Consider the following 27,099-nt stretch of genomic DNA (forward strand, 5'->3'; position numbering starts at 1 on the left):
GTATTATAATCAGCATAACTTATGGCAGAGCTTGTGAAATCCTGCCAGCAATTTTGTGACTAGTAACATAGAATCCCCAATTCACCTTTGGGCAAAGCAGCACCAGCAAGGCGGCCAGCTGTTCAAATCAACACAACTATCTGCAATTAGGAAATGACTAACTACCACAACAAAGTAATTTTTAAGCGGGGGAGGGCATCAGTTCTTCTCTTAATAAAAAGGTATACCTGCATGGTGAATGCAAAAAACTCAAATAAAATACCCACTTTGGGAACTATACAGACAAGGTAATAAATAGAAAGGTGTCTCATAACTAACTGGCATCTGTACCAATATAAATTCTTCCGAGGAGACTTTTTTAAATGTTAAACACCACAAGCAAATCAATTTAGGAGTCCCAGCTTGAACAGATCCATCCTCCCACCGCCATCTTAGCATCAGCCATCTTGAATTCCTCTTTCCCATTGCCTCCTCAAACAGCTGCAACCTGGCTTCTAAGGCAGACTTTCTAGTGGAGCTTTCCCATTAGAGCAAATGATGGCCTCCGCAAGGTGGAATCCCAGGATTTTGCTTGGTCCTTGTCTTATGACCAGTGCCTACAGCACTTCACATTTTAAAATCATACTCTCCCTCCCTGGTATTCTCTGAAAGTGTCTCCCCGTATTCCATCACTCTGAGGTCCAGCATGGCCTGTGCTGCTCAATCACGCTCTGCAGGTCCAATCCTGTGAGTCTGGCTATTTCCCAAACAGGTCCCTTTGGATGTGCCACATACTCTTTCGAGTAGGCCATCCTTCATTTCTGTGTCCTCCAACACCTACCACAGCCCTTGGAACATCTCAAGCACTCAAAGGTGTGTTAAGTAAGTGAAAGAGTGAATTAATTGTCTGGATGTAACCAGGCTCATGAGAGAATCTGAGATTAGGCTATAAGTGGTCTTGGTCTTCCAAAACTTTTACTTGTAAAGGTTTTGATGATCATGGAGACATTAGGCAGTCATGACAAGATGGCAGAAACAGTGTTTTTGTTTTGTTTTCCCTCTCCTCTCATACACCACTCAATGTGATGCTTCTGACAGCAGATGAATGGGAATTTTTCCCTATACGTCAACCAAACAATTCTCCAGCAGACACCAGCTAGGTGTCCTAAAATTTAACTCAATTCTGACACGATCTACCTGGAGATAGCATCACATCCCTCAGGGTGAGGGCTCAGTCCCATAAGACTGCCCCGGCTTCAGACACCAATCACAAGTACCACAGTGGGCTGCCACCTATAATTCTGATCAGCCAGCTATAAATCAGGGTTCCCACCACAACATCCTCAAGCTTGATTAATTTGCTACAGCAGTTCACAGAACTCAAGGAAGCATTTTACTTAGGTTTACCCATTTATTGTAAGTGATATTACAAACGATACAGATAAACAGCTAGATGGAAGAGCTGCATAGGACGAGGTATGGGAGAAGGGGTTCAGAACTTCCATGCTCTCTCCTGGCACACTGCCCTCCAGGAACTTCCATGAGTTCAGCTATCTGGAAGCCCCTTGAGCCCAGTCCTCCTGGGTTTTATGGAGGATGTATTAGGTAGGAATGACTGATTACATCATTGGCCATTGGTGGTCAACTCAACCAGAGCTTGGTAGGTAGGGCTGAAAGTTCCAACCCTTTAATCACATGTTTGGCTCTCCTGGCAACCAGCCCCCATCCTGAGGCTATCCAGGAGCCCACAGTCTTCTAAATAGAACAAAAGATGATCCTATCACCCAGAAAATTCTAAGGGATTTAAGAGCTCTGTGCCAGATGTTATCACTCAGAAAATAAGAAACGTTTTAGGATCTCTGTGTCAGAAACCAGGAGTCAAAGACCAAATATTAGAACAAAAGGTTATCCTAGTACCCTATCTACAAGGGTTTTAGGAGTTCTGTGCCAGAAACTGGGAAGCAGAGACCGAATATATATATTTAATCCTAGCAGTTTTCTAAATTACTTTTTACTCATGATTTTATTCTATTGGTACTAGCCAGAAATGACATTCCAAACTATTGATAATTTCACAAAATAAGTGCGTTTTTCTAATCTTGCAACTCTGAGAAAAATTTAGGTACATTGCTCATCTATGGCATGTAAATCACATGAGCTGTCAAAGATTTCAACACAGTAAAATTCACAACCAAAATTTGCTTTCAAATGGAGAGATAACTGATGATAAGAAAGCATGATGACTAGCAAACTGCACAGAGTGAAAACATCTCTTTATAACCTCTGTCATATATGGAAATTTCATCAGTATGAATTAACAGTGACAGAATTTAGACAGATAGCACATGAGACCATTGAAAAGCCTCGTGACCTGTTATTTGGTACCAAGGCAGTAGACTAATGCCGATCAGACTATGAGTACAGCTTAGCAGATCTTCAGAGTAAAACATACTTCAATTTGTTGGATACTGCTTAACTGTTCCCTATTAGATATTTTTCCCCTTTTAAAAAAAATCCCCCATCTCTCTCCAGCTGTAGCTGGACACACTGCTCCCAAGCTAGAAATTATGTTTCCCAGTCTCCTGTGCTTCTTGGGGTGAACACGTGCCTGAGTTCAAGCCAAAGAGAGGTAAGCAGAAATGGTTTGTGCAATATCCAGGAAATCCCCAGCCTAAAGACAAGACACTGCCTATTGTGCACTCTTCCCCTGGCCAGAAACGGTGAAGCCTTGGGCTCAGAGACAGTCCTACATGCTAAGGATAGCTAAAGTGATAGTTCTTAGAGCACCTATCTACTGACCCTAGTCTTTCTACCTCCCTTTGGCCTAAATAAGATAGAAATAAATTCCTATCTTAATTAAAACACTGTATTTTGGGCTTTCTTTGTTACTGTACACCTAGCCTATGCTACAAGTAATATAAATATTGGTCAATTCTTTTCAAAGTTAACATGGCAAACTGTGAAATACGAAGCAGCAGTCATCTCTATATTACTTTATTGATTGATGTTGTTTGTAGATGTTATAGTTTTCCAAAGCACTTTGACATCCATTCACATTTAAGCCTCACAACATCTTTGAGTCATGGTCACCATTTCAATTTAGAAAACTAATGCTCAGATTATGGTTAAGTAATTTGCTTAGGGTCAGACAATAACAGACTTTAAAAGTCTGTTTTTGCTCAGTTCAGCACATTTTTTCACTGCCCTAAAGAATGCCCTTCCCACAGCTAACTGCCCTCAGAGTGGATTTTATGTTGGTTAGATGGAAACTAGCTACAGAATGACCCCCTCCACCGCAGCCCTCTCCACCAATTTGTAGTGTGTGCTGGGGGGAATCTGGCTAGATGCAAAGCCATAAAACAAAAATCAAGAAATGAGTTTTCAAATTCTACCAATTGGGCATCTGTGTAAGTTTGGCTTTGGTTCCACTTTGATTTCCCTGCCCTAGTGCAATGAGGGTGAGGGCAGAAGTTAAGTTGTATTCTCCCATTCAGTATTCTATTCTATTAATAATAATGAAATAAATCTACACAAAAGTTAAACAATTTTTAGTTATATTTGACAAAGATGCTATTACTAATACTTAGATATTCTTTTTTAGGTAAAAAGAGTTATACTTATTTTTCAGCAAAATAGTAACTATTGTATTTCTCAGCAGCCTGTACTATTTTCTTAAATATTGTTTCTATAGCAGCTTGGGAGATAAACATATATTGGTCAAATGAAGGAATTCATTTAGGTGGAAAAAATAAGTTCACTTATTTTGTTTTTGTTTTTTTTTTCTGAGGTAGAAATAAAAACTAATTCAACTGTCCTCAAGTTCTGCAAGTCAGTAACATGTCATTTGTCAGCATGGCAGTAATTGTGTATGTTTTTAAAAAGTCACCATAAAAATACAAATGACATAATTAGAAGAGTCCTCATTTCAACCTCTATTTTTCATTTGATGGAGAAACACTGGTAGAGCCTTATATGAGTGAAAAGTCTTAGGACCCCAGCTACTCTACATGAAAGAATTTGGCCATGGAAAGTTCAAAGACTAATTTAAATCCCAGCATTACATCCACACACAGCAGGAATTGACCAATGATCCATTGCATCAGTACACTGTACTTTCAGACATTTCCTTCTACCCAAATACTGGATCACGGACTGCCATTTCATTCACTACAGTATATCAGGACCGCCTGAGCCTATGATTATCAATATCATTCAAAATCTGGCCAGGTATGTTCTAATTTTCTCTCCCATTACTCCCCAAAGCTATCCTGGGAGTCCAGTGAAGCCAGGCTCCTTGCTTTTTCTGAACAGGCCAAGTTATAAGTTCTTTGCAGTCTCAGCACCTAGCACAAGACCTGCAAATAATAGATGGCAAGGCATTTCTAGAAACCAGGGTTTCTAGAAACTGGAATTGGGTTACGGCATCAAGTAGGGAAAACACATTTGTTTGCTGCTACTTATGGCTCCCATCTGTTCATCTGAGTCACCTGGTGGGCTAGTTAAAACACAGATTACTGGGTCCTGACCCCAGAGTTTGATTCAGTGGGCATGCAATGGAGCCTGATATTTTGCATCTCTGAGAAGCTCCCAGGTGTTTCTAATGCTGCTGGTCTGGGGACCACTCTGTAAATCACTGGCTTATGGTAACCAGGATTAGTTTACTGATTACCCCGATTACCACCCACTGTCCTCCTAAAGAGATTAATAAGGCCAGTGTAAATAATGCCAGATGCAATTATTCTGCAAATATTTTCAAGGGTTAATTATGTTCAGGCACTCTTCAAGGTCTGGGCAATACAGCCATGTACAGTGCAGGCAAGTCTCTGCCTGCATGAAGGTAACATTTTTGTGAGGGAGACAGACAAAATAAGTGGAGGTAAGTGGAAAAACAAAATAGAGAAGAGGAAAGGAGGGGCTGAAGTAGAGGGGTGGCATCAACATAGACTGGTGGAGGAAGACCACACTGAAGACATTTGAGCAAACACCTAAAGGAAGTGACGGAACTAACCGAGGTGGCTACTTTGGGAGGCTCATTCTAGGCAGACAAAACCAGCGTAAAGGACTCTAGGGGCAGGAATGTGTGCCGGCATGCTGCAGGAACAGCACAGAGGCCAGTGTGGCTGGAGTGCAGAGATGGGGTGAGGGGAGGAGGGTGATCATCACAGCTGCATAAGCCCTTGTAGGGACTTTGCATTTTGTTCTCAGTGACATAGGGAACAATTGCAGTGGGATTTGATTTGAGGAGTCAAATGGTATCACTTAAGTCTTGAATGGATCCTTCTGGCTGCTGTTGACTGAAGGAATAGGGGGCAGGGGCAGGAGCAGCTGAGGCCACTGGAAGGAGATCAACATCACTTTCACTAGGGAGGTCACCAGGAGAATCATGCTAAGTTGTTGGATTCAGGATCTGTTTCGAAGATGGAGGTAACAGAACTTCATGATGGATTCAATGTGGGATATGAAATAAAATAAAAATCGAAGATAATATTTGATTTGGGGCCTGAGCAGTTGGATAATGTGCTATTTTGGGGTAAATTTGTGCAAGGGGTGTTGAATAAATTGTTCTCCTTTGGCAGTGAAGTTTGTGACGTCATTACATATGAAAGAGTAGATGTCAACCAGGTCGTTAGTGCTCAAGAATTTTGGATTCCAGTGTGTATGGATATAAACATGGAGCCGTGACATCGAATGGGATTACCTGAGGAAGGAACCACAGTAAAGAAAAAAGGACCTAGTACTTGGAGGTTGAGAGGAGAAAAAAAAAAAAGTAAATGAAGGAGAGGCCAGTGAGGGAGGAACAGGAGAAGGTGTTCTAAGAAGAAAGTAGTGTTAAATACAATCAGTGGTCAAGTAAGACAGGCCCCCAAATTGGCCACCAAATTGGCCAATATAGTGGCCATTAGCGGCCCGACAAAAACAGTTTCAGTGGAGGAGCCTTTCCAAATACCTCACTTGGGGTAGAGGTTGGGGAAAGGTGAAGAATAAAGACAAAATTTTATGCCAAGGGTAGGGAGAACAAGTAAGAACAAAGCTTTTTCAGAAAATATCATAAATATCATGTGATTCTTGAAAATCAGTCTCCAAGAGACCATGGGGCTACGGAGGCCCTTGGGAAAAGGGTGCATTCCAGGTCCTATCCCAGAGATTCAGGTTCAGTAAGTCTAGGAATAAGATGGGACCCAGAGATGTAATTTTAACAAGAACTTGTAGGAGGATGTTGCCAGTTCTCCTTGGGACACTTTTGGAGAATGGTCTCCCAAACAGAATTTCTGGTTATTTCCGATGACTTAACACAACAAAACAAACCAACTGCCACAACCACCATGCAACCAACACACTGAACCTTTCCTTGAAACACCTCCAATACCTATTCTACCAAAGTGAATCAGGGCCTTGGATTCTCTTGACATTCAAATGAGATTGGGGACAAGGTGATAAACATGAAGACTTTTTAGAAACAGAGCAGATGGTGCTTCTCATGTTGGATCTAGGAACTCTTTTAGGAAAACCTAGACTGCCTATCCCAGGAAGACTCCTTTTGCTACACAAGAGGACCGTCAAACTATTTAAAAATTTTGTTTCGTTTTTATATTTATCTTTAAGAGACTTCCCTCAAGAAAGAGGTTACTTCCTGCAGTGTGAGGAGATTATACATTTATGCACTAACACATAAACCTTGCTTGGATTTTATTTTCTAAGCCAGAAAGCATTTGTGGATGTGCAGATTTCAGTGTGTTGCCTGTTAAACTGCATTTCTTACTTATGGGCACTGAACATAAATCACCCAAGAGGAGCGAACATTCCTCCTGGAGTGAGGTATTTCAAAGACTGCCTCTACTGCCGCTGGGTGGGAATGGGTGGTGCCCAGGATCTGATCACATTTATGTCTCTATTTTCATGGTAAAAATGTGAAGACAAAAGTAATGGACCAGATCTGAGTTCTCCTGGCTGTCATGGGCTGCAGGCTGTTGTTTGTATTAAGCAGCTGAACACTGTTTGACTTGTCTTGGTGAAAAGAAACACTAGCTCTATCTTGTTGCTTCTCCTCCAACAAAAAGGCAGCAGAACAAGTGAATCACCATGACTGACCAGCATGTTTTCTTCTTACCCCTAAATCTCTTCTCCATATTAAGAGATATACTAAGGAGACCATAGGCATTTATTTCCCTGCCACTGGCCTCAGGAAATAAAGGATGGAGCGCCTGAAGAGACCTTCTCAGACCTAGTATTTTGCACATGCCCTCACAAAAAATAAACGTGTATCACCAATAGAGAACATGAAAGCAAACCAAAAGTCATAAAGCATTCTGGAAGTCAGAAAGAAGTTTCCATTTGATTGACAAAAGCTGCAAAACCAGAACCCAAAACACATCCAGGATAAAATCACCATGAAGATGAGGACTGAACTGGGAAAAACTGCAAGCTCAGATTGAACATAAGAGCAGGAGGGACCTCTTGGGCAATCGTCTGTGTGATATTTAAGTATGGTATTCCATGGCCACCCCCCTCCTTCCAGCAAGTGGTAGGAGAGATTGAACTCAAGATAAAGAACTGTTCTCTACTGAGGATTAGTTTCCATCTAAGGAGGTAGAGCCATGAGGCTGGGTGGGGTTTTGGGGTTGGGTTCTGTGCAGGTGTGGAGGCGTCACCAGGGCTGAATTCATGGGCACCTCCCCGCAGACACTGTAGGCCTATTCAATAGAACCTGCTCTCCAGTCAAGGCTGCCAACTCAGAGGGCTTCTAATGTTATGTGGAGAGCCCTGCATCCTTCGCCAGCTGTAGCCGACTTAGTGCTGAAAACACTTGAACTTGCCCAACATCCTCCACAAAGAGGCCAACTCTATAGAAAGACACTTAGCTTCCTAAGGACTGGTTAATTGGTATTTCAATGTGATGCCCTATGCCAACACCAGGACTGGTATAATGGGTATAGGTGCAAAGCAGGACCCATCTGGCTGGCAATCCTCATTTCAGATCTTTACATCTGACCATGAAAAGGCCAAGCTGGAAACAAAAGGGTGGCAGAGTAAGAATGAGGGCCTCTGCCTCCTGGAAACAGAGGAATCCCTTCAGGGGGCTGTGTATATTTTCACTGTGCAGCTCCTCTTTCTCGTTTGCTATCTTAGCAAGCCCTGTCAAGGAAGAATGTGGAAAAGGGAAACAGTGGGAAAACAGGAACTCCTGATACTACAGAACCCTTTTCTCCTTCAACTTTACCTCCAGAGACTGAGCCTATGTCATAGTTGATTCTCTAATACCAGCATAAACAGCTTTCAGGAGAATCATGCCTCAGTCAATTGCCAATCATACAGGGAAGATTTTAGGATGGTTTAAGAAGATGGAGAGAAAGGATTTATGAAGTAGTAGATACCCATCCCTGCCCCACCCAAAATAAACAACTCAGTAGCATATACTTCTCTTTTTTCCAATAAAGAGACTGTCGTTAAATACAATCTGTTTCTTGGCTTCTTCTGCTCTCAACTCTAGCTTGTAATATGTGAAGTAATTTGAGATTATCCTCAGAAGTTCCACAGATATCTTGTGGTACAAAATGATTACCAATACTGTGATTAAAAAGTGCTTTTATAGGTGGTAACCTGGAGGGCTGATACAACCTGATGTAAACAGCACTGCTGCCTTGTTTGAAAGGTAATTAGAAAGCCATTTTGTTCTGACAGTGGAGAATCCGATTCAGGAGAAAAGTTTCTTCTCTCCTGAGGGGCCAAACCAAATATGTGATGGAATATAGCTGTGGCACTCTTTGAACCTTCTCATTGGAAAATCTGGAGAGAAATGGGACATACGGCAACTTTTAAGTTGAAAGCCCTTGTGCCCAGGGCCCCTGTCTCTGTGCCAGTCCATCCCTGGAAGAGCAATGGTGCAATGCAATAACTCAGCGCTGCCCTTCACATGATGGTGGCTGGTATGCTCCCCTGGGTTCTACCTGGGATGACCAAATGGTACCCTTAGCCTCCACTGAACACCCACTTCACAAAGACACATTATCCTGACAATTAAGATCTAATGCAACGGTTCTCCCACTATGGACACAGACCAGCATTGTTAACATCACCTGCAAATTTCATTAGAAATGCAACTTCTCTGGCCTTTCCCCAGGCCCACTGAACTCTGGGGGTGGAGGGGCCCAACAATGTATGGTTTTAGGAGCCCTCCAGGTGATTCTGATCCACTAAACCTTAAGAACGACTCTTCAATAGTCAAATTAACCCATCATTACAATCATTCATTCCAGGTGTGTGAGCCACCCCTCCCCCCCCGCCCCCTTCCACCCCCTGCATTTTCAAGATAAATCATTTGACGCTATAGTGAATTTGAATTACTATCAGCATTGATGAACAATTCAAGGTTTCTTTTCAAAATATCTCATTTTTGAGGGTAGAGGGCTGGGAAATCAGACCTTGCATCAGGTGAAACACTGAAGTTTAATTAAAATAATGCAAAACCAGCAACAGCTGCCCTGCTGTGAAGCCTATGTTTGTACTTAATGATTTAGGTGCTGTTTTTCAGGACGAGAGAAGTACCCATGATAAATATGATGCAGGTGCACCCGGGATGTTACCTTTTTTTTTAAGTATCTCCTCTCAAAGCGTTATGCAGCTAAAACCATTCAATCAGTGGACTATGCACTATTTGGGATTTGAAGAGACACCTGGACCATGTAAGAATTTTGTATTGGGACGGTCACCTAAGACAGAAATTCCTTTTTAAAATATACATATTTGGGATAGCAACGCAGACAGTTCACTTACCAGTGGATAGTAATTTAACTATTCTAATGCTTATTTTTCATGAAAATCAGCCACTCTTAGACAAGGCAGATGTGTTAAATCAATTTAGGAAGGCAATTTACTATGATGAGGTTGTTAAAGAGTCAAACGGAACATCAGGAAACTTATGCAAATATTTTTGGGAATTTGTTCTGAGTATGCAAATGCTATATAATTAGTTATCATGCTTTTCATGCAAAATTAAATTTGCTATAATAACGAATCACACTCAAGAATAAGGCTAGTTAACATGAAAAGAACCCTCATTTTTATGACTGAAAGACTGCAAATTGAGGGTAAACTGCAGGTGAATCTAATTCCAGCCTTTAGGATTATTATTCATTCCGGTCAAACGAAACCAACTGCAACAAGGGATGGGAGGGCTCTCTGACTCTGGACAGCACATGTATGGATGCAAAAATCACAAGGAGTAGAAGCAATGGAGTGTTGTGCTTTTTGGACTAAGGCTGTCTCAGCTATCATTAGCCAGATACTCTTTTACCCTCTAATTATTTTGGAAGGACTCAGTGCTATCATTTAATATTTATCAGACTAGCAAAGCCAAACTTCTATTTTGGAATATCTCTAAAGTCTAATTACTGCTCAGTCCCTTCCTGCCCCAGACTGACAATTTGGAGATAATTTGGACTTCCAGCATGTTGGCTCTTCCTGCCTCACTCTGTAAATGTCCCCACTTGTCACGGGGCTCTCTAGACCTCCTCTCGCTGTCAAAGTCCTATGTCTGCTATATTTGCCAGGCTATGTAATAATTAGGCCCTTGGCTGGGTGCGGTGGCTCACGCCTGTAATCCCAGCACTTTGGGAGGCCAAGGTGGGCAGATCACGAGGTCAGGAGATCGAGACCATCCTGGCTAACATGGTGAAACCCCGTCTCTACTAAAAATACAGAAAATTAGCCAGGCGTGGTGGTGGGCACCCGTAGTCCCAGCTACTCGGGAGGCTGAGGCAGGGGAATGGTGTGAACCCGGAAGGCGGAGCTTGCAGTGAGCCGAGATCACACCACTGCACTCCAGCGAGACTCTGTCTCAAATAAACAACAAAACAAACAAACAAAAAAAAAGAAAAGAAAAAGGCCCTTTATGCCTCCTGGCCACTTGTAGACCACTCCCATTTGGCCAGGAATGAGACATGTTCCATAGCATGAAACTTTCTGTGATGACGCTGGAGAAGTCCTGAGCAAACCAGGTGAGTTGGTCACTCTACCACAATCACACGTTTCCCCATGACTCCCAGGCTGTTTGCCCATTCCTGTGGGTGTCAGTTTTCCTAACTATGCTTCAAATTCCTCACTGGAGTAGGCTTAGCCATAACTTCTAGTGCTGCAGACTAGCCCTAACCCCAGGAGTCGTGTATGCTCATCTGCTATCCACTAAAGAAGTGGAGGCTCCATCCAGTGAGCCTGATCACTGACCCATGTCTTGCCTTATCCCAGGTGGACTGCTCAGGAATAAAGGGGTTTCCAGCTGCCTGAGGACTGACAAAGGGTTCCTTCTGTCACCTCCCCAGATCGGAGCCTCAAAGATACCAGTTTGCATCACAGCCACCCCCATCCCACCCTCACCCAATCTGTGATTAGACTCAGTGCCCTTCAGTGGGACTAGCACTTTACCTAGGTTAGGCTCAGTTATATTCTTGCTTTATACCTACTCCACACCGGATCATTGTGGAGGTCCCAGGTTTTACCTAAAAATACCTTGCAACCTACTATTAAAAGTGAAGACTGCACCTGAACATTCATGTTGTCTTTACACATAGGATCACAAGATACTGTTGATACAGAATCTAGAGTTGTCAAGTACTTTGTCATATTAAGCTTACAATGACAAAACTAGGTTTTAGTAGCATGATTTTAGGACAAAAAGGAACCCAAAGCCATACATTTGAAGACTACATCTATCCCTTAGACTGAAAAGTCAGACATGGTAGAAATGTTTTATAAAAGAAGAGAAAAGCGGGAAATGAATGCCTTGCTGCCCATAGAGACGTCCAGTTTTCTGTTGAGGCTGGCTGTTAAAAGTACCTGACTCCATTGGTTTCAATAAATAGCTCAATCACCTTGTTCTTGCTAAAGCTCAAGCTCAATAACCCAATATTCCCTAGCCACATACAATGCATTTAACCCTTTTCCTCATTATCCCACTTAAGCTAAAAAACAAGACAAAACACAAACAGGATAGCCAGATGAACTCTTAATTCCAAAACAATATCAATTGAATTCACTCCATTTGCTAGTACTGCCTTCTCAACCATGCCTTGTCTTAGCTCAATATTAATTAGGTAAAACTTAATAGTCATGCAACCTGGCCCACATCAAAAATTATATACCTATAAAAATGTGCATTTTTCTAGTTTTTATACATTTCATACTTCGTCTCATAAGTCATTCTGTAAAGTGAGTGTCATTCCCTCATTTGTCACTTTTGTAAAGCCCATCTTATAAAGGTTTATTTAGCAGAAAGGCTAATAGATTTTATTAATAGGCATAGTCTTTCCAACCTGTAAAAACACCAATACTTAAGTCAAATATTTTTGTACCCACTATGCAAATAGTACTTTGCTAAAAACATCACCGTTAGCCTAGGAGAATGAGACAAAGCATAGATGCAAGAAAGTTCTATGCAGTAAGTGATACAGACATTTTACAGCAAAAAGGTATCATCTGTGATTGAGATCCAGAGGCAGGTAGAAATGAAAGCTTAGAGAGTGAGCTTGTGGAAAGATAATTGATAAACTACATTTTACATGATACTTTATTTTCAACACTCCATTACAAAGTTTGCTTAATTATCTTTTACAACATACCAGTAAAACAGTGTGTCTGTCTCTGTATTACTGATGAGAAACCTGGGCTCATAGAGTTCAAGTAACAATATCTGAGTGGGTAGTTGAAAACAAAATGTTACACTAAATCATTAAAAGTAAAAGTTGAAAAATTATCTTTCTAGTAATTTTCACCACCCATCCAGGATATTCTTCTAACAATTGCATTTGAGAATCTATCCTGGGGGATGAGACCCTAGGACACATAGAAGCTATGTGGACCTTGAGTACTTTGGGTCTATTTCCTTATTTATAAAATGAAGAGATGGGGCCAGATCAGTGGTTAGCAAACCTCAGCCAGCACTAGTACCACCTGGAGAGCTTGCTAAAACAGACTGCAGGGTCCCACCCCCAAGAATTTCTGATTCAGCACATCTGGGGTGAGACCTGAAAATTTGCATTTCTAACAAATTATCAGGTGAGGTGGATGTTGATGCTGCTTGTCCAGGGACCACTTTGAGAACTACTAGACTGGTCTTTAGGGCCTCTAGGATTTTGAGTATGGAAAGACAGACAATATTCTTAACTTCTAGACCAGCTGCAAGTAAGAGTTCCCTCATTTATCCTTCCACCTATTCATTCAACAAATGGACACTTGTTGGTTTGTGAACAAGTGTGTTTTCAAATAGTTCCAAGTTTGCCTAAAAGTAGGGAAAAATCTCAATTATTTAATTGATATCATTTATGGATATTTGGCAATTTTCTTTAACTCTATTTCGTGATCATGTAAAATCAGGAAAAAATCAATTAAATCAGGAAATGCATGCAAAAATTATTAACAGTGTCTGACATAGAGATCTCAGCAAACATTAGTTCTATGGATCAGGGAAACAATTTACATATCATATTGCACTTTTGCCTCTCATATTTTTATTCCAGCTGCTAGCATCTATCCTATTTCAGCATCTCAGGGTTTTCCTCCTCATCCTTTGTTGGAGAAGCTGATGAAGTTAGCAAGGCTTGGGTCACGGTAATACTGAGGGAGGGATAGGCTGGGTTAAAGAGGAGAGAATGATTATATGCGAACTATATGACTGGTTCCTAACAAAAGTTAATGGATTAAATACAAAATCCCTGCCCTTCAGTGTGTTCCAGCTCTCATTAGTGCCAACTGCATCTCAAGGCACACCTTTCTCCTGTGCCACCTATGTCCTTGGCATACAGTTGGAGCAGGAGATGGGGGCGCTACTGGCAGCCAAAGAAATGGACAGAACCAGTGTGATTGTCTGGGGAATCTGACAGAGAGGTAAATTGAACTTAATCACTGTCCCAGCCAAATCACATTTGTAAAGGCTGAGGCTCTGTGGACACCTGTTATAAATAAAGCAATTCCTAATGTTTTTCTACAAGACCTGAGCCTTTGGTTGATCTCAGTTTCTCAGTATAAGAACCATTTTTCTCACCCAGGGCCTGGCATCAGCAATTTGGTGTTATGTCCCAAGAAATTCCCCAAAACTCCTGGGATGGCACAAAGTTGTCCTAGCTATGTGAGTTAGACTCTGAGCTCCAGACAGAAATACTCATTTCCAGGTTCAGCTTCTAAAAATACCTGCCTTCACGTATGTCCTTTGGCTCCGGGAGGTTTCCAAACTACAACCAAAGTCTGAGATGAAAACTTAAAGAAGGCTAGACTGCATGAAATTTACCTCACCTATCCCGGCACAAGCCAGAACTGGATGAGGCGTAAACCAGGCCTGCTGTGCAAACAGATGCATTCTACCTCTGGGGATGGCTCAAGGGAATCATAAACACCCCACATTGAGAGGGCAGGAGGCCTGAGTGGCATTTAGGTTTCTCTGAGGCTTATTTTGTGAAAGCAAAACTGACTCACTGAGAAAACATTTTAAAAATATTTACTTGGAATTACATAAAAAATATTTTAAATGATTTTTGTTTTTTCAGAGGTAGGAAAGTCTGTTTTATAGCTGGCTGCTGAGTCAGACAGAATAGCCGGAAAGACTTTGGGAAACCTCAGCCTCTCTTTGGCCTCTGCAGTTGTGAGGCCGGGAGATGTGGTTCTGAAACCCAGGCAAGTTGCTGAAGCACACAGAGGAATTCCCAGAATTTCCTCTAAAGTTTTCACTTAGATGTCACAAAGAAGGCCTGATTTCAGCGAAATAAAAGTTTGTTGCAGAGTCACACATGAGCACCAGTTGTAACTAAGAAAATATATATATACATTCTAAAGCACATACTGTATTCCAAGTGCTTTTTTTTTTCTTTTCTTTTTTGAGACGGAGCCTGGCTCTGTCGCCCAGGCTGGAGTGCAGTGGCACGATCTCGGCTCACTGCAACCTTCACCGCCTGGGTTCAAGTGATTCTTTTGCCTCAGCCTCCCAAGTATCTGGGATTACAGGCACCCAGATAATTTTTGTATTTGTAGTAGAGACGGAGTTTCACCATGTTGACCAGGCTGGTCTCGAAGTCCTGACCTCAGGTGATCCACATGCCTTGACCTCCTAAAGTGCTGGGATTGCAGGCAAGAGCCACCACGCCCAGCCTGCCAAGTACTTTTAAAATGTATTCATTTGATTATTCACTCGAATTCTTCTGAGCACCTGTTATGTGTAGTGCTAGGAGCCGTTGGATATAACTGTGAAAAAAATGGACGATGTCTCCTTCCATCACTGCCGTATTCAATCTACCTGGGAGGGAGGAAGGCACTGGAATGCAGAACCATAGCTTTACCATGTTAAGCCACTTTCCCAACTGTACACAGGGAAAGAGCCAGAGAAATTTGAACAGGATTTTGCGTCTCCAAAGTGTGTACTCTGGCCTTTGGGGAAGGATGGATCCAAACATAAAGGAAGAAGAAAACTAGATGACTCCAGCTTATGAAGATAGCATTTATGTATTCCCCTAAGTGCCTACATAAACCTGAGAATAAGGTACTCTTCTAACAGAAATTGGCATTCCTTTTTAGTACAGGGACTTTGTGATGTTTCCTGAGGGATTTCCATGTACTGCAACTCATTTTAATTATTTCAACCCTAGCCTTCCCTAAGCTCTTGCATCTCTAGTTTCTACAGCCAACCATATACTGGTTTTAGGGGTGTTGAATTGCTCAGTTATTGTTGGGTGCAGGCACTGGACATTTGTTATTTTGGAGTACATCAAGCCCCCTTCCTTGTGGGGATCACTCCCCCGCAGCTCTGTGCACTCTATCTGCTCCCAGGGTAGAGTTTGTGACCTGAATGAAAGCTAGTTAACACACCACATTTGCCTGGAGATGTCAACTGGTTCAATGATGGGCACTGGACCTAATCAGAACCAATGAGACTAACATGAGAATGGCATCTCTGCTAGCCTTGGCCTCCCAACTTCAGCATTTGAGTACTCACTGACACCTGGACCCATCATACATTGTGTTTGGATATGACCCCCCTCTTAAAAATGCTTGCAATGTTTATTTTTGCCGGATGTCATCAAAAAGAAGTTGTTGATGGTGTGTGCTGGAGTTGGTAAAGCTGAAACTACCCAAATGGCTGTCACTAGAGGGCCAATAATGATGCTGTCTTTCAGCACTTCTTGTTAATACGTAACTAGAATCATGCAGCTCTCTTCTTTAATTTGTTCTGGACAGTGGGCCACTTTAGGGATGAACTGCTCAGCATTTCTGGCAGAGGAACAGCAACCCCTTAGGATATCCTTGATTGAAAAACTATAAGGCCGGGCACAGTGGCTCAGGCCTGTAATCCCAGCACTTTGGGAGGCCGAGGCAGGCGGATCACGAGCTCAGGAGATTGAGGCCATCCTGGCCAACACGGTGAAACCCTGTCTCTACTGAAAATACAAAAATTAGCTGGGCATGGTGGCACATGCTTGTAATCCCAGCTACTTGGGAGGCTGAGGCAGGAGAATCACATGAACCAGGGAGTTGGAGGTTGCAGTGAGCCGAGTTCACACCACTACTGCACTCCAGCCTGGTGACAGAGCAAGACTCAGTCTCAACAAAAAAAAAAAAAAAAAAAAAAGAGAAAAAGAAAGACAACAAAGCTGGTCACAGAGCTGGTAAACTGGGGACAGCCACAGCAAGAGTCCTGTAACAGCAGAGAACAGTCCTCCATTCCCTCGGAGACATTTTCCAGCTCTTTATTTGAAATGCTTTGCAGAAACCTGGAATTCTGGACATTATGGTTATTAATATAAAGACTCCTATCATTCCATAGCTCCCATCTCCACTGACCTCTACCCCATCTCTAATGACCTGTTACAGCTTTGACGTCACTCTCAGAGCAGGATTTAATGATGACTCATCTTTGATACCTCTTCCTGCGTAAATTCAACAGCATCCTGGCTGCTCACAGTAGAGTGCATTTACCAGAAACAGCAGCATTTCCTGGGTGCTTGCTGGAAATGCAGCATCTCAGATTCCACTTCAGACCAACTGAATCAGAATCTGTTCAAGAATCGGCTTCTAACATACTCGCAACTGCTGCTGCTGCTGCTGCCGCCAGCCTGGGAACCACATTCTGAGTAGCAGGAATGTAGACCTCAGTGTTTCCTAACCGTACTGATCATAAGTTCTGTTGGGGAGCTTCTTCAAAATACCTGTTTCTGGGCACAACTTCAAACCCTTTGAATCAGAATCTTCAGAAAAGGGACTTTGGTATTTACAGCCAGCCCAGGTGGTTCTTCTGGATGGGCAAACAGAGGAAACACTGGGAATCTAATTTAGAGTTCTAGGCCGAGCTCTCAGCTGCCTGCTCTTCTCCTGCCTGAATTTGTTGCTTAACAGATGGAAGCACAATACAGCTTCCACTAGGGCTGTTTCTTTTTCCCTTTTGTTCCTCCAAAGACTTGCTACCAAATGCTGTGTCTTCAGCATCTGGAATTGTTTTTTTACCTTCTCTCTATGCAGTTAGGTAAGAAAGGACCTTGGAAGGATTCAAATCCCAATTCTAGGCAAAGATATGTTAATAGTCACATCCCAGTGGCAATGCTGTTTAATGTTAGTGTTTTGAAGACAAAATGCAGATTCCTGGCCCTGGTTGTTCTGCAGGTTGTAGCCTTAATAAACTGGTTGGTCTGAGTACATAAGTTTTCTTGAGGACTGACAAAATGCAAGAACAGTGTTAGTAATGGAAGAAAGGAATAAAAATGATAACCCTGTCCATCTAGGATGTAGGAAAACAGTATTTGTTAAGGTTTTCTACATCTTTGAAAAACTGGTAAATAATATAGTTGCCTAAAATTCTTAGGATCTTTGTTAATTGCTTCAATATTTTTCCTTCCTTAGCCTTGGATTTTTTATAAGACAGTAGCGACATTAATACCTGCAGGGCTCCTCATGTGAAGACTAAAAGTGAATGCATAGACCAGTGCTTCTCAGTGGGGGATGACTTCATATCCCAGGAGACACTGTTGTCTGTCATACCTGGGAGAGAGGGGCTGGTACTGGCTGTTAGTGGGTAGGAGCCAGGGATGCTGCTAAGCATCCTACAATGCCCAGGATAGCCCCCACCGCAGAGATTATTGAGCCCCAAGTAGTGCCCAGGTTGATCTAGACCAAATACTCTCCACATCTTCAGAGCTTAATGATCATCACCCTGTTGTCTCTCTACCAACGTTGGGCCCCAAGTTACCCGATTGGTAGAACCAAGATTTGAAAAAATGTTCCTCTGCCTCCAGAGCTGTATTCTTTTCATCCCAACGTGCTGACTCCCACTGGTAGCAGACTATGGTAATTTTTTCGTGTTGATTTATAGGAGTGCTGCAAATTGCAAATCCTGTTCTCAGTCCCCCAAATTCGCTGCGTATCTGCTCTCATTATGTCATTTTCAGATGGAGAATAGAGGGTTGAGGCTTGGAGCAACAGAGGAAGCAGAATATAGAGAGAGTTGACATAGACTGGGATTTTTATCTATTTTGTTTTAAACAGAGTAACTGAGCTCTTATAAGAATCAAGAGATTTAAAACTTAATACATTTTAGGGGGGAAAGCCGAAGACTCAACTACAGAGGCAGAAGGAGAAGTAGGCTGGAAGTAACTAACAATTTCTGACTTGTGGTGCCACCAGGTAGAGCTCCTGGAGTCTCCACTGCCTGGGCAGTCCTTGACATCCTTTGAGAGCCAAAGTGTTAAATATGTAAGAGCACTGGATAATGAACACGTAATTGGAGCATGGGAAAAATCAGACACTGTGAACTCGATTATGATATGTTGGTAACAAGGAGTGAAAGCACCTAACCTATTCAGTGAGATTACTGATGAAAAATATATATAATGAAAAAAATATATAAATATTATTCAAAGGGTAGACTAGCTGCAGTGCCTCATGTTTAATTTAAAATACACTTGCATTTCAACCTCAGATGAGCAGTTCTGAAATGTCATGAAATGCTGGGAACTTTCATGGAAAGAAAAACTTGCGGCAATCATAATATTAGAATTTGTTTGCCCTAGGGTGTCCATAATCTTAGAACAAAAAATACTCTTTATGTGGAAATACCTTGTAGTTACTAGGAGCCTTTTATTATAAAGAAAAAGAAAGGCAATAAAAAGGAATTCATTCTAAGGAGGTGTTTAGAGTTTCCTTTAACTGTTTCCTTTACCCACATAGCTTGCCGTTAATACTTCTCTATTAAGCTTTCAGAAAGAGGAATTGCATTTTCCACCTCGCTGAAGAGGCATGAGAGTGGTACACTTGGGCTATACTGAGATGGAGGCTTCGCTGACAGCAGCCATCCAGATCTGGGTCTGCTTTCCTTTTTCACCTTATTAGCTATTCCCACCTCATAGTCCACAGGCCTGTGGAGGGGGCAGGGGACAACCAGGGGACAGCCACGTGGACAGGGAGCAAGGGAGGAGGGGCTGGGGAAAGCACCTAAAAGAAGAGGGAGTACCAAGCATGCCTTAAATATCTCACAGGTTTCCAGTTGGCCTAGCAAAAAAAGAGATGATATAGAGATGTACACAGGGGAGCGCCAGGTAGAATCTACCTACCAAGGACACCACTGGTCTTCATAAAGAATAGCCAAGTGTTATGGAAGAGAAAAGGAGAATAAATCTGACAAAAGTGGGGGGTATTGAAAGATGGGCAAGGTGTTTGGAAAGAAACAGAAAGGGAGGATGGGCTTAGCAAATGAGCAGACTATATAAGCCCACTGGAATTGTCAAAATTAAGGTTACACACAAGGGAGAACATCTGTATCATGACACATTGAAATAATAAGTATATTAATTTACTTATCACATCCAATGCTAAGACAGATTATGTACCTTTTGTAACTCCTGAATTCTCCAGAATTTAAAAAATGCTAAAGAAGACACACACTGTACCCCAAAGGTGAGAAAAAGGAGTGGTTGCCCAAGACCCCTCTTCTGTTCAACTTCATGAATTCACCTGTGGAATCTTTTAAAATAGGGATTCTGAGAGATTCTTCTGGTTTGTGAGGAATCTGAGTTTTTTAAAGGCTCTCCAGATATACCCCTGAACAACCTTTTACCGGAGGGGCCAGCGTCTAAGACACTATGAAAGATAAAGAGTATAATACTGAGCATTATTTTCCAGATTTTGGAGGGAATGTGGCCAAGAAAGCAAGACCTTTTTTTTTTTTTTTTTTTTTTTTTTTTTCTGAGACAGGGTCTCACTCTGTCACCAAGGCTGGAGAGCAGTGGTGCAATCATGGCTCAATGCAGCCTCTACATCCCAGGCTCAAGTGATCCTTCCAGCTCAGCCTCCTGAATATGGGTTTACAGGCATGCACCACCACACCCAGCTACTTTATTTTTTGTATTTTTTTTTTTTTTTTTTTTTGTAGAGATGGGGTTTCACCATGTGTCACAGGCTGGTCTCAATCCCCTGGGCTCAAGTGATCTGCCTGCCTCAGCCTCCCAGAGTGCTGGGTTTACAGACATGATACACCATGCCTGGCTTACATTGTTTTTGTTTTTTTTTTTTCTTATTAAATGTATCAATAATTTTTTTATTTAAAAAAAGGACACGTTTTGTGTTGCCTTTTAAAAATACATGTTGTAGCAAGCATATAATATCTATTAACAAAAAGAAAAAATAGTTTGCAAAACTCTTAATTATAACTTTATTTGATATGTAACTTTCTGCATCATATGGTATTAGTAGCAGCTAAAAAATATTGAGGGCCAGGCACAGTGGCTCATGCCTATCACCCAAGGCTTTGGGAGGTTGAATCAGGAGGATCACTTGAAGCCAGGAGTTCAAGATCAGCCTGGGCAACATAGCAAGACCCTGTCTGTACAAAAAACTAAAATTAAAAAAATTAGCCAGTTGTGGTCGTGTGCACCTGTACTCTCAGCCTACTTGGGAGGCTGAGGAAGGAGGATTGCTTCAGCCCCGGGATTTAAGTTTGCAGTGAGCTATGATTATGCCACTGTACTCTAGTCTGGGCTACAGAGGGAGACCCTGTATTAAAAAAAAGAAGAAAGTATTAAGCATATACTATGTTCTAAGCACATATTAACTCATTTAATACATACACAGACATACATGCACACACACTCCCACTGTACCATGTGCTATTATTATTCTTATTTCACAGATCAAAAAATGAGCAAATATGTGTGCAAAAGTATGTGTGTGTGTATGTGAGTGTATGTGTAGTTTTAGGTAAAAGAATAAAAGATATCCTAATTGTCGTTGACTGATACAGAATTTTTTAGGCTATAATTAGTATTCTTGTGCTGTGCTGATTAAGACTTTTATCAGTTCTTGGGCTAAATATAAATATTTATACTCCTTTTTTGTTGGCAGGTTTTAATAGTTAAAGATAGATTCGTGGAGAGGGTAGAAGATGAATAGCAAACAATTGATGGAGTCTTCTAAAGTTTAACATTAATGATTAAACAACATGATCTGATGACTTACTCAGCAACTCAAAGACAATAAAACATAATAAATCTGTCAATTAGCATTTTCATCTTCTCTCCCAACAGAGCTTAATGGCACCTGCAAAATGCAATTTTCAACCCAGAGCTCTTTGACATTTTCTGTTTCCTCCCATGTCCCTCTCCCGTTGTTCCCGTTATGACTGAGAGCAGCAACGTGTTCTGCTCCATGGTGGCAAATGAGTCACCTGCCATTGAAAGGAAAGCAATTATTGTGTCCTCTCTAAATCTCAGGGATGACTTGGGTACTACTTTTCCACTTAAGGGCATAAACAGCCAACCCAGGACCGGTTTTAAGTGGCTGAACCTTAGCAACAGCAGCTGGGCTACAGGTTGATGTCACCTGAGGTGCCCATTAAAGGTGTGGAAAGCTGCCAGACAAGAATGACTTCCAGTAACTACGACTTCTCCCTGGAGGGAGCACAACGCACTGCCACACACAAAGTGACAAATAATGACTGCAAAGATAGCATCTTGCCTTTATCTTCCTGGTCCTTCGGTTTGAGGACAGTGACCCAGGCATGGAGGTTAGGCTGTTTCTTGGATGGGTTTCCAGCTGGTGGGAGTAGATGCTATTTACACAAGTGTCAGGAATTACAATTCTTCCTCTTCCAGGCAGCTATGTTTAGCTCACATGTGTGTCACACGTGTGTAGACCCCAACACCACCATCTCTGAACTGTCAAGTAAGGAGATTCTGGGTGATGAGAAAAAGTGTGCCCTCAGGGAGACTTCAGATAGTACCTTGGAGCTTTACATCTAATGAGGACATCTCAATTGTTTTTCTAAGCTTCAGAGTCAAGTGCCTTGACAAAATGGGCCCAATATAACATTTCCCCTTGAGTCATTTTTAAATGCACCTTTTTCTTCAGTGAGCTAAAGAAAACTGCCTTATAAACACCATCAATGTACCAAATGAAAGATTCCATTCTAAATAAATACGGCAAGCCTCCATTAACCAGAATCCAACACTCCAATGCACCCAGTTAACCAGAATTAGGTTCACTACCTCATTTTTAGAATCAAAAACCAATACTTAAGAGCATATAATAATTTCAGCCAAAAAAACCCCACAAAATTTTCAGGTCTTTTTATGCAACCAATTATCTCAGGGGTGCATTTTCTATCTACCTGTTTACACAGAAAATGAGTTTTTAGAATAATGATTCTGAGGCAATAATCATATAGTCAATATATATAATTATTGGTATACTTGTGCTTAAGACTTGAAAGTTTTAGAAAAAATGTCCACTGTATTTGAAAAGAAAATTTTTAAGGATTCTGAGATTAATGATAAAGTAAACAAATTTATATTCACCCTTACACCTTGGGCTTCTAGTATTCCAGAAAAAAAAATAATAATAAGTGTTTCTTTTACCCTGCTATTTGCTCTGCTTCTAGGGGAGGTCTGGAAGCTTTCCTTCACCTCACAGATGGGTGACCCAAGGTGGGAGGTCAAATGACTTGCTCAGAGTGAGACAGCATGTCAATACCCAATGCAGGGTTAGACACCAGAGCTGTGGACTAAGCCCTTCACGGGCAAATCCATCACTGTAGAGGTATACTGCTTGAAACCATTTTTCCAAAAGGTTCTCTCTGGAGGGAAAATTCTGGTCTCAAGAAATGAAACTTTGATTACCCAGCAATGGGACTCCTTGCCAGCTCTTTTTTGAAATAATTATGAATCTAAAACGTGCCCTTGTTTGCTCTGAATTTTCCTTTAATGTTTACTGGCAGGATGAATACAAAGCCTCCACAAATTAAGTCTTCCCAGAATTAGTTCAGAAGTGCACTTTCTATTACTCTGACTAGCAGCTCCTAGAGTTTCATAGGAGATTGGAAGTTAATTCTTTTCAGAGTTGCTCCAGGCAAAAAAGCAGGGGATGATAATGTTTAGGTACTTTTCTCCCTCTTTTTTAGATAAATCCCAGGTCCTGAAGTCTGAAGAGGTCATTAGTCAGCAGAGGGTATGATACATCGGAAGAGGAAAGGCTACGGAGTCACTGGGGGCTGGGTTTGAAGCCTGGCTTGGGGCCTTTAATGCATTAGCAATGAATGTTAATGCTCTCTGCTTTCTTCCACGACGAGGAAAAGCCATGGCCTTGACGAGCTCAACAAATAGAGTGTGGAAGTGAAGTCACACAGAAAGACTCAACGGTCCTACCTTTCTACAGCTACTATCCACATTAGCCACACTCTGTCACCTTGTCAGCCACCACTGAATTACTAGTAGAATTGAGAGTGGTGACAATCTAGCATCTTCCTACTTACTTTCAACATTTTCCATAATCATATATAAGTCCTTAGAGCCAATCAGACTGCATTGCTGAACACCATGCAAGAGAAAACTTCTCAAATCTCCTTTGCCAACATTTTTATATCATATTGATTTTGCTCCCCTACACAGTGAGGGACTGCACTGGGTGTTGTGTGGAAATGAAAGTGATTAACACACAAGGAAGGTGCTTGTTTCAACAGTACAAACTGGAATGCTACAGAGAAGATTCGGATGGCCCTGTGCAAGGATGACACCCAAGTTTGTGAAGCACTCCATATAGAAGGGAAAAAAATTAAAGACACAAGGGAGGACTTTGCAACCTCCTATGTGCATACGCAGATTGAGTAGAAGGCGCTGTGATAAGGGCTATAGGAGGGACTCAATTTGCTATCAGAAGAAAAGGCAAGAGAAGAAGGCCGTTAGTGATCCGTTGAGAGATGGTTTATTTCAATGGTTATGTGTGTGGACACTGGAGCCATCTTGCTTGGATTCAAAGCCTGGCTCTGTGACTTAATGGTCGTTTGACCTAGACCAAGTCTCTCAGTCACTTTGTGTCTCAGGTTTCTCACCTGTAAAATGGGGATAATAATGATTCCTGTTTCATAGGGCTTTTCAGAGGATCACGTGAATGAATACATATAAAGCTGGCACTGTCGTATTAGACATTTCTTTTGAAAGCTGAATTGGAAGTGCTCACGGTGGTGGTAAAGTATCTGTCATGGAGGGCATGCCATGCGACAGATGCTAGCTCGGGCACTTTTATGTTCATCATCTTATTTAATTGAAACTTCCCAGCAAATAGATATTATCACCCAGATTTTAAAAGCTATTGATCACGAGAGTTGAATATGTTGTCTGACATTTCATAGGTGGCCATTGGCAAAGTGGAGATTCAAGACCACGACTGTCCAGCTCCCAAGTTCATGCTCCTTCTGTCCCTCAGCACTACCTTTGACCATTTCTCCGTATATGCATATAAAAAGAATTTCCTTTTATTGAGTATATGTAGATTGGGCTTGGTTATCAAGCTGTTCTCCAGTGATAACTACCCCCTTGAAGGAGGCTGCTGCCCGTTTTAACGGTGGAATCGCAGTAATGAAGCATGTGGAGCAGCAGATGCCTTGCCAGAAAATAATTAGCAAAATTCCTGAATTAGGGTGCCCCTCACACTGCTGCAGTGCAGAAAACAGTGAACTGATTGATGTTAGATTTTTTTATCTTGGTAAGAAGGATCAGGTTTGCTCCTTTACAGCATGTGGCTGAGCTGGGTCTCTACTGTGAATCAAAAAGAATAGAAAGCCAAACTCAGGTCCATTTACTTGAGGTCATTCACTACCTCCTATAATAATGACACACATTTGCTGAGTACTAATTGTGTGATATTCATTGTGCTAAGTGTTTTGCATAAAATGTCTTAAGTTTCACACGGCCCAGTGGTGCAAGCTTGTTGTCATTCCCATTGTTTAAGTGCCCAAATCTAGACACGGAGCAGTAAAATAACCTGCCCAACCCTTCCTGGTATCCATGGAATGTCTCAGTGGTATTGGGATACAAATGAAGGCAATCTACTTTCTGAGCCATAATCACTGCGTTATAGTCTCTTACCCCTCTCACTCTTAATCAAAGCAAAAAAATTGGCTTCAAACAAGCAAATTGCTACACTTGACAACAGAAATATAAGCCAAATCTGAATTATTAGATTGCTAGTAATTCTTATTTGACTATTAATTGGGTGCTTTAGCTGGGCTGGGTGTACCTTTTGCTTTCCTTTAGTTGGATAATTGCAAGCGAAAATTTTGGATATTACCATTCATGTACAGAGAGAGGTAGAAGTCAGCAATTACACTAATCCCCTTAATCCTTTATGTACTTTACCTGCACTGTAAAATTCCTTGATTTTAAATCCGCCACTTGTTCTATAAAAAATGTATAGACTAAAGAACCACAAAAAAGTTAAATAAAAATTTTTGCCTGATGATATATTGATTGTACATACATATCTTTACTTTTGCATATTCTATGTTGCCATTAAAAGATCCATTAAAAGCTGAGTTCAAATAATTATTCACTGCTCACATTACTATGATAATCAATTGCCTGTTATGAAAATTATTGCCATCTTTAAGAATTGCTTTGCTAAGTGAAGTAATTAGAACTGATATTTTATTTTCTAGTTCAGTTCCAAAAATTGATTTTATATGCTAATCAGAGTGTGAAAATTGGGACATAAATTTTATAAACAAAATGAATGGCTAGTCAGGCTTCCTATTTGACACTTTATATAGTATTTGTTGTTTCTCAAGGCATCTTGCTCTTGAGAACACACTGCTGATTACTGTATCTGTCAGAACTAGGTAGGATAAGTTTTTCATTTTACAGAGTCTCAAGTATCTGAAGTTCCAAGAATTAAGAGGTGTGGGCCTTCAATCAGGACAGAGGGTGGAAAATCACACCTTCTGTCCACCGAAATAGCCATTATTTCTTGCAGCCCCAACAGAAAAGCAGAGGAAAGACAGGTACCATTTACCAACTGTCTTGAGTGTGCCTGGTGTTAAACTCCTGACATATATGTTTTTTCTGTTCCTTATGGTTATCTGGCTAGGTAATTACTATTATTATTACTCTTACATATAAGGAAGCAAACAGACTAGGAATTTAATTTGTGATCGCACACCAAGTAAGCGGCTAAGTTGGGAATCAATCCCAGTCTGCAGGTTCACAAGGCCATGCTTTTCCTTTCCTTTAACAGGCCAAGTGCAAACAGCTGAAGTGAATACACTTCAGCACAAGGCTCGAGCTTCATGATGATTTTGCCCTTTGGCACAAATGTCTTGGTAAATGTTTCAAAAGAAAGTTAATGCCTTCACTTGGTTTTTAGGTGATCATGAATTGTAGAGGAAGATGCAGGAAACCACAGGTTGAAGTTGCATTTAGAAGCAAAAACAAACAATATTTTCATATATATTACTGGAATTATGAGGTGAAATGAAAGGAAGAACCAAATTTGGTAAAATAAAACAAGATGGTAGTCTCAATTCCAGCTCCGCTAATAAGAAAATGGGAAATTTTGAATACATTCCCTATCTGAGTCTGAAACAGCTCATTTGTAAAATGAAGGGTTATGCTCTTTAGGTTAAGAGTTTCTCTTCTGGCTACACGGGTGGCTGATAAAGTTGATTTCATCTCCAAAAGTGACAGGGAGCAGGCTTCTGTTTGGCAGAGGTATATCCCTACCGGGTCTCACTGCCACAGGAACAGAAGGGGCACTCGTTAAATACTGTCACCCTGTTTTGCCCTCATGATCCTAGGTGTCTCTTAGAGAGACATAAGTGACATTTTTATAATAAAT

General features: G+C 41.4%; 1 protein-coding gene and 1 pseudogene across 17 annotated transcripts in view; one reads left to right on the top strand and one right to left on the bottom strand.

Moving 5' to 3' along the window:
* NCKAP5 (NCK associated protein 5) overlaps window positions 1–27,099 on the bottom strand; it is a 1,003,049-nt gene that overhangs the window by 638,111 nt on the left and 337,839 nt on the right. The window lies entirely within an intron of this gene.
* Window positions 23,931–24,032, top strand: RNU6-579P (RNA, U6 small nuclear 579, pseudogene; annotated as a pseudogene).

This window comes from Homo sapiens, chromosome 2, assembly GCF_000001405.40.
Source record: "Homo sapiens chromosome 2, GRCh38.p14 Primary Assembly".
NCBI classification, from domain to species: domain Eukaryota; kingdom Metazoa; phylum Chordata; class Mammalia; order Primates; family Hominidae; genus Homo; species Homo sapiens.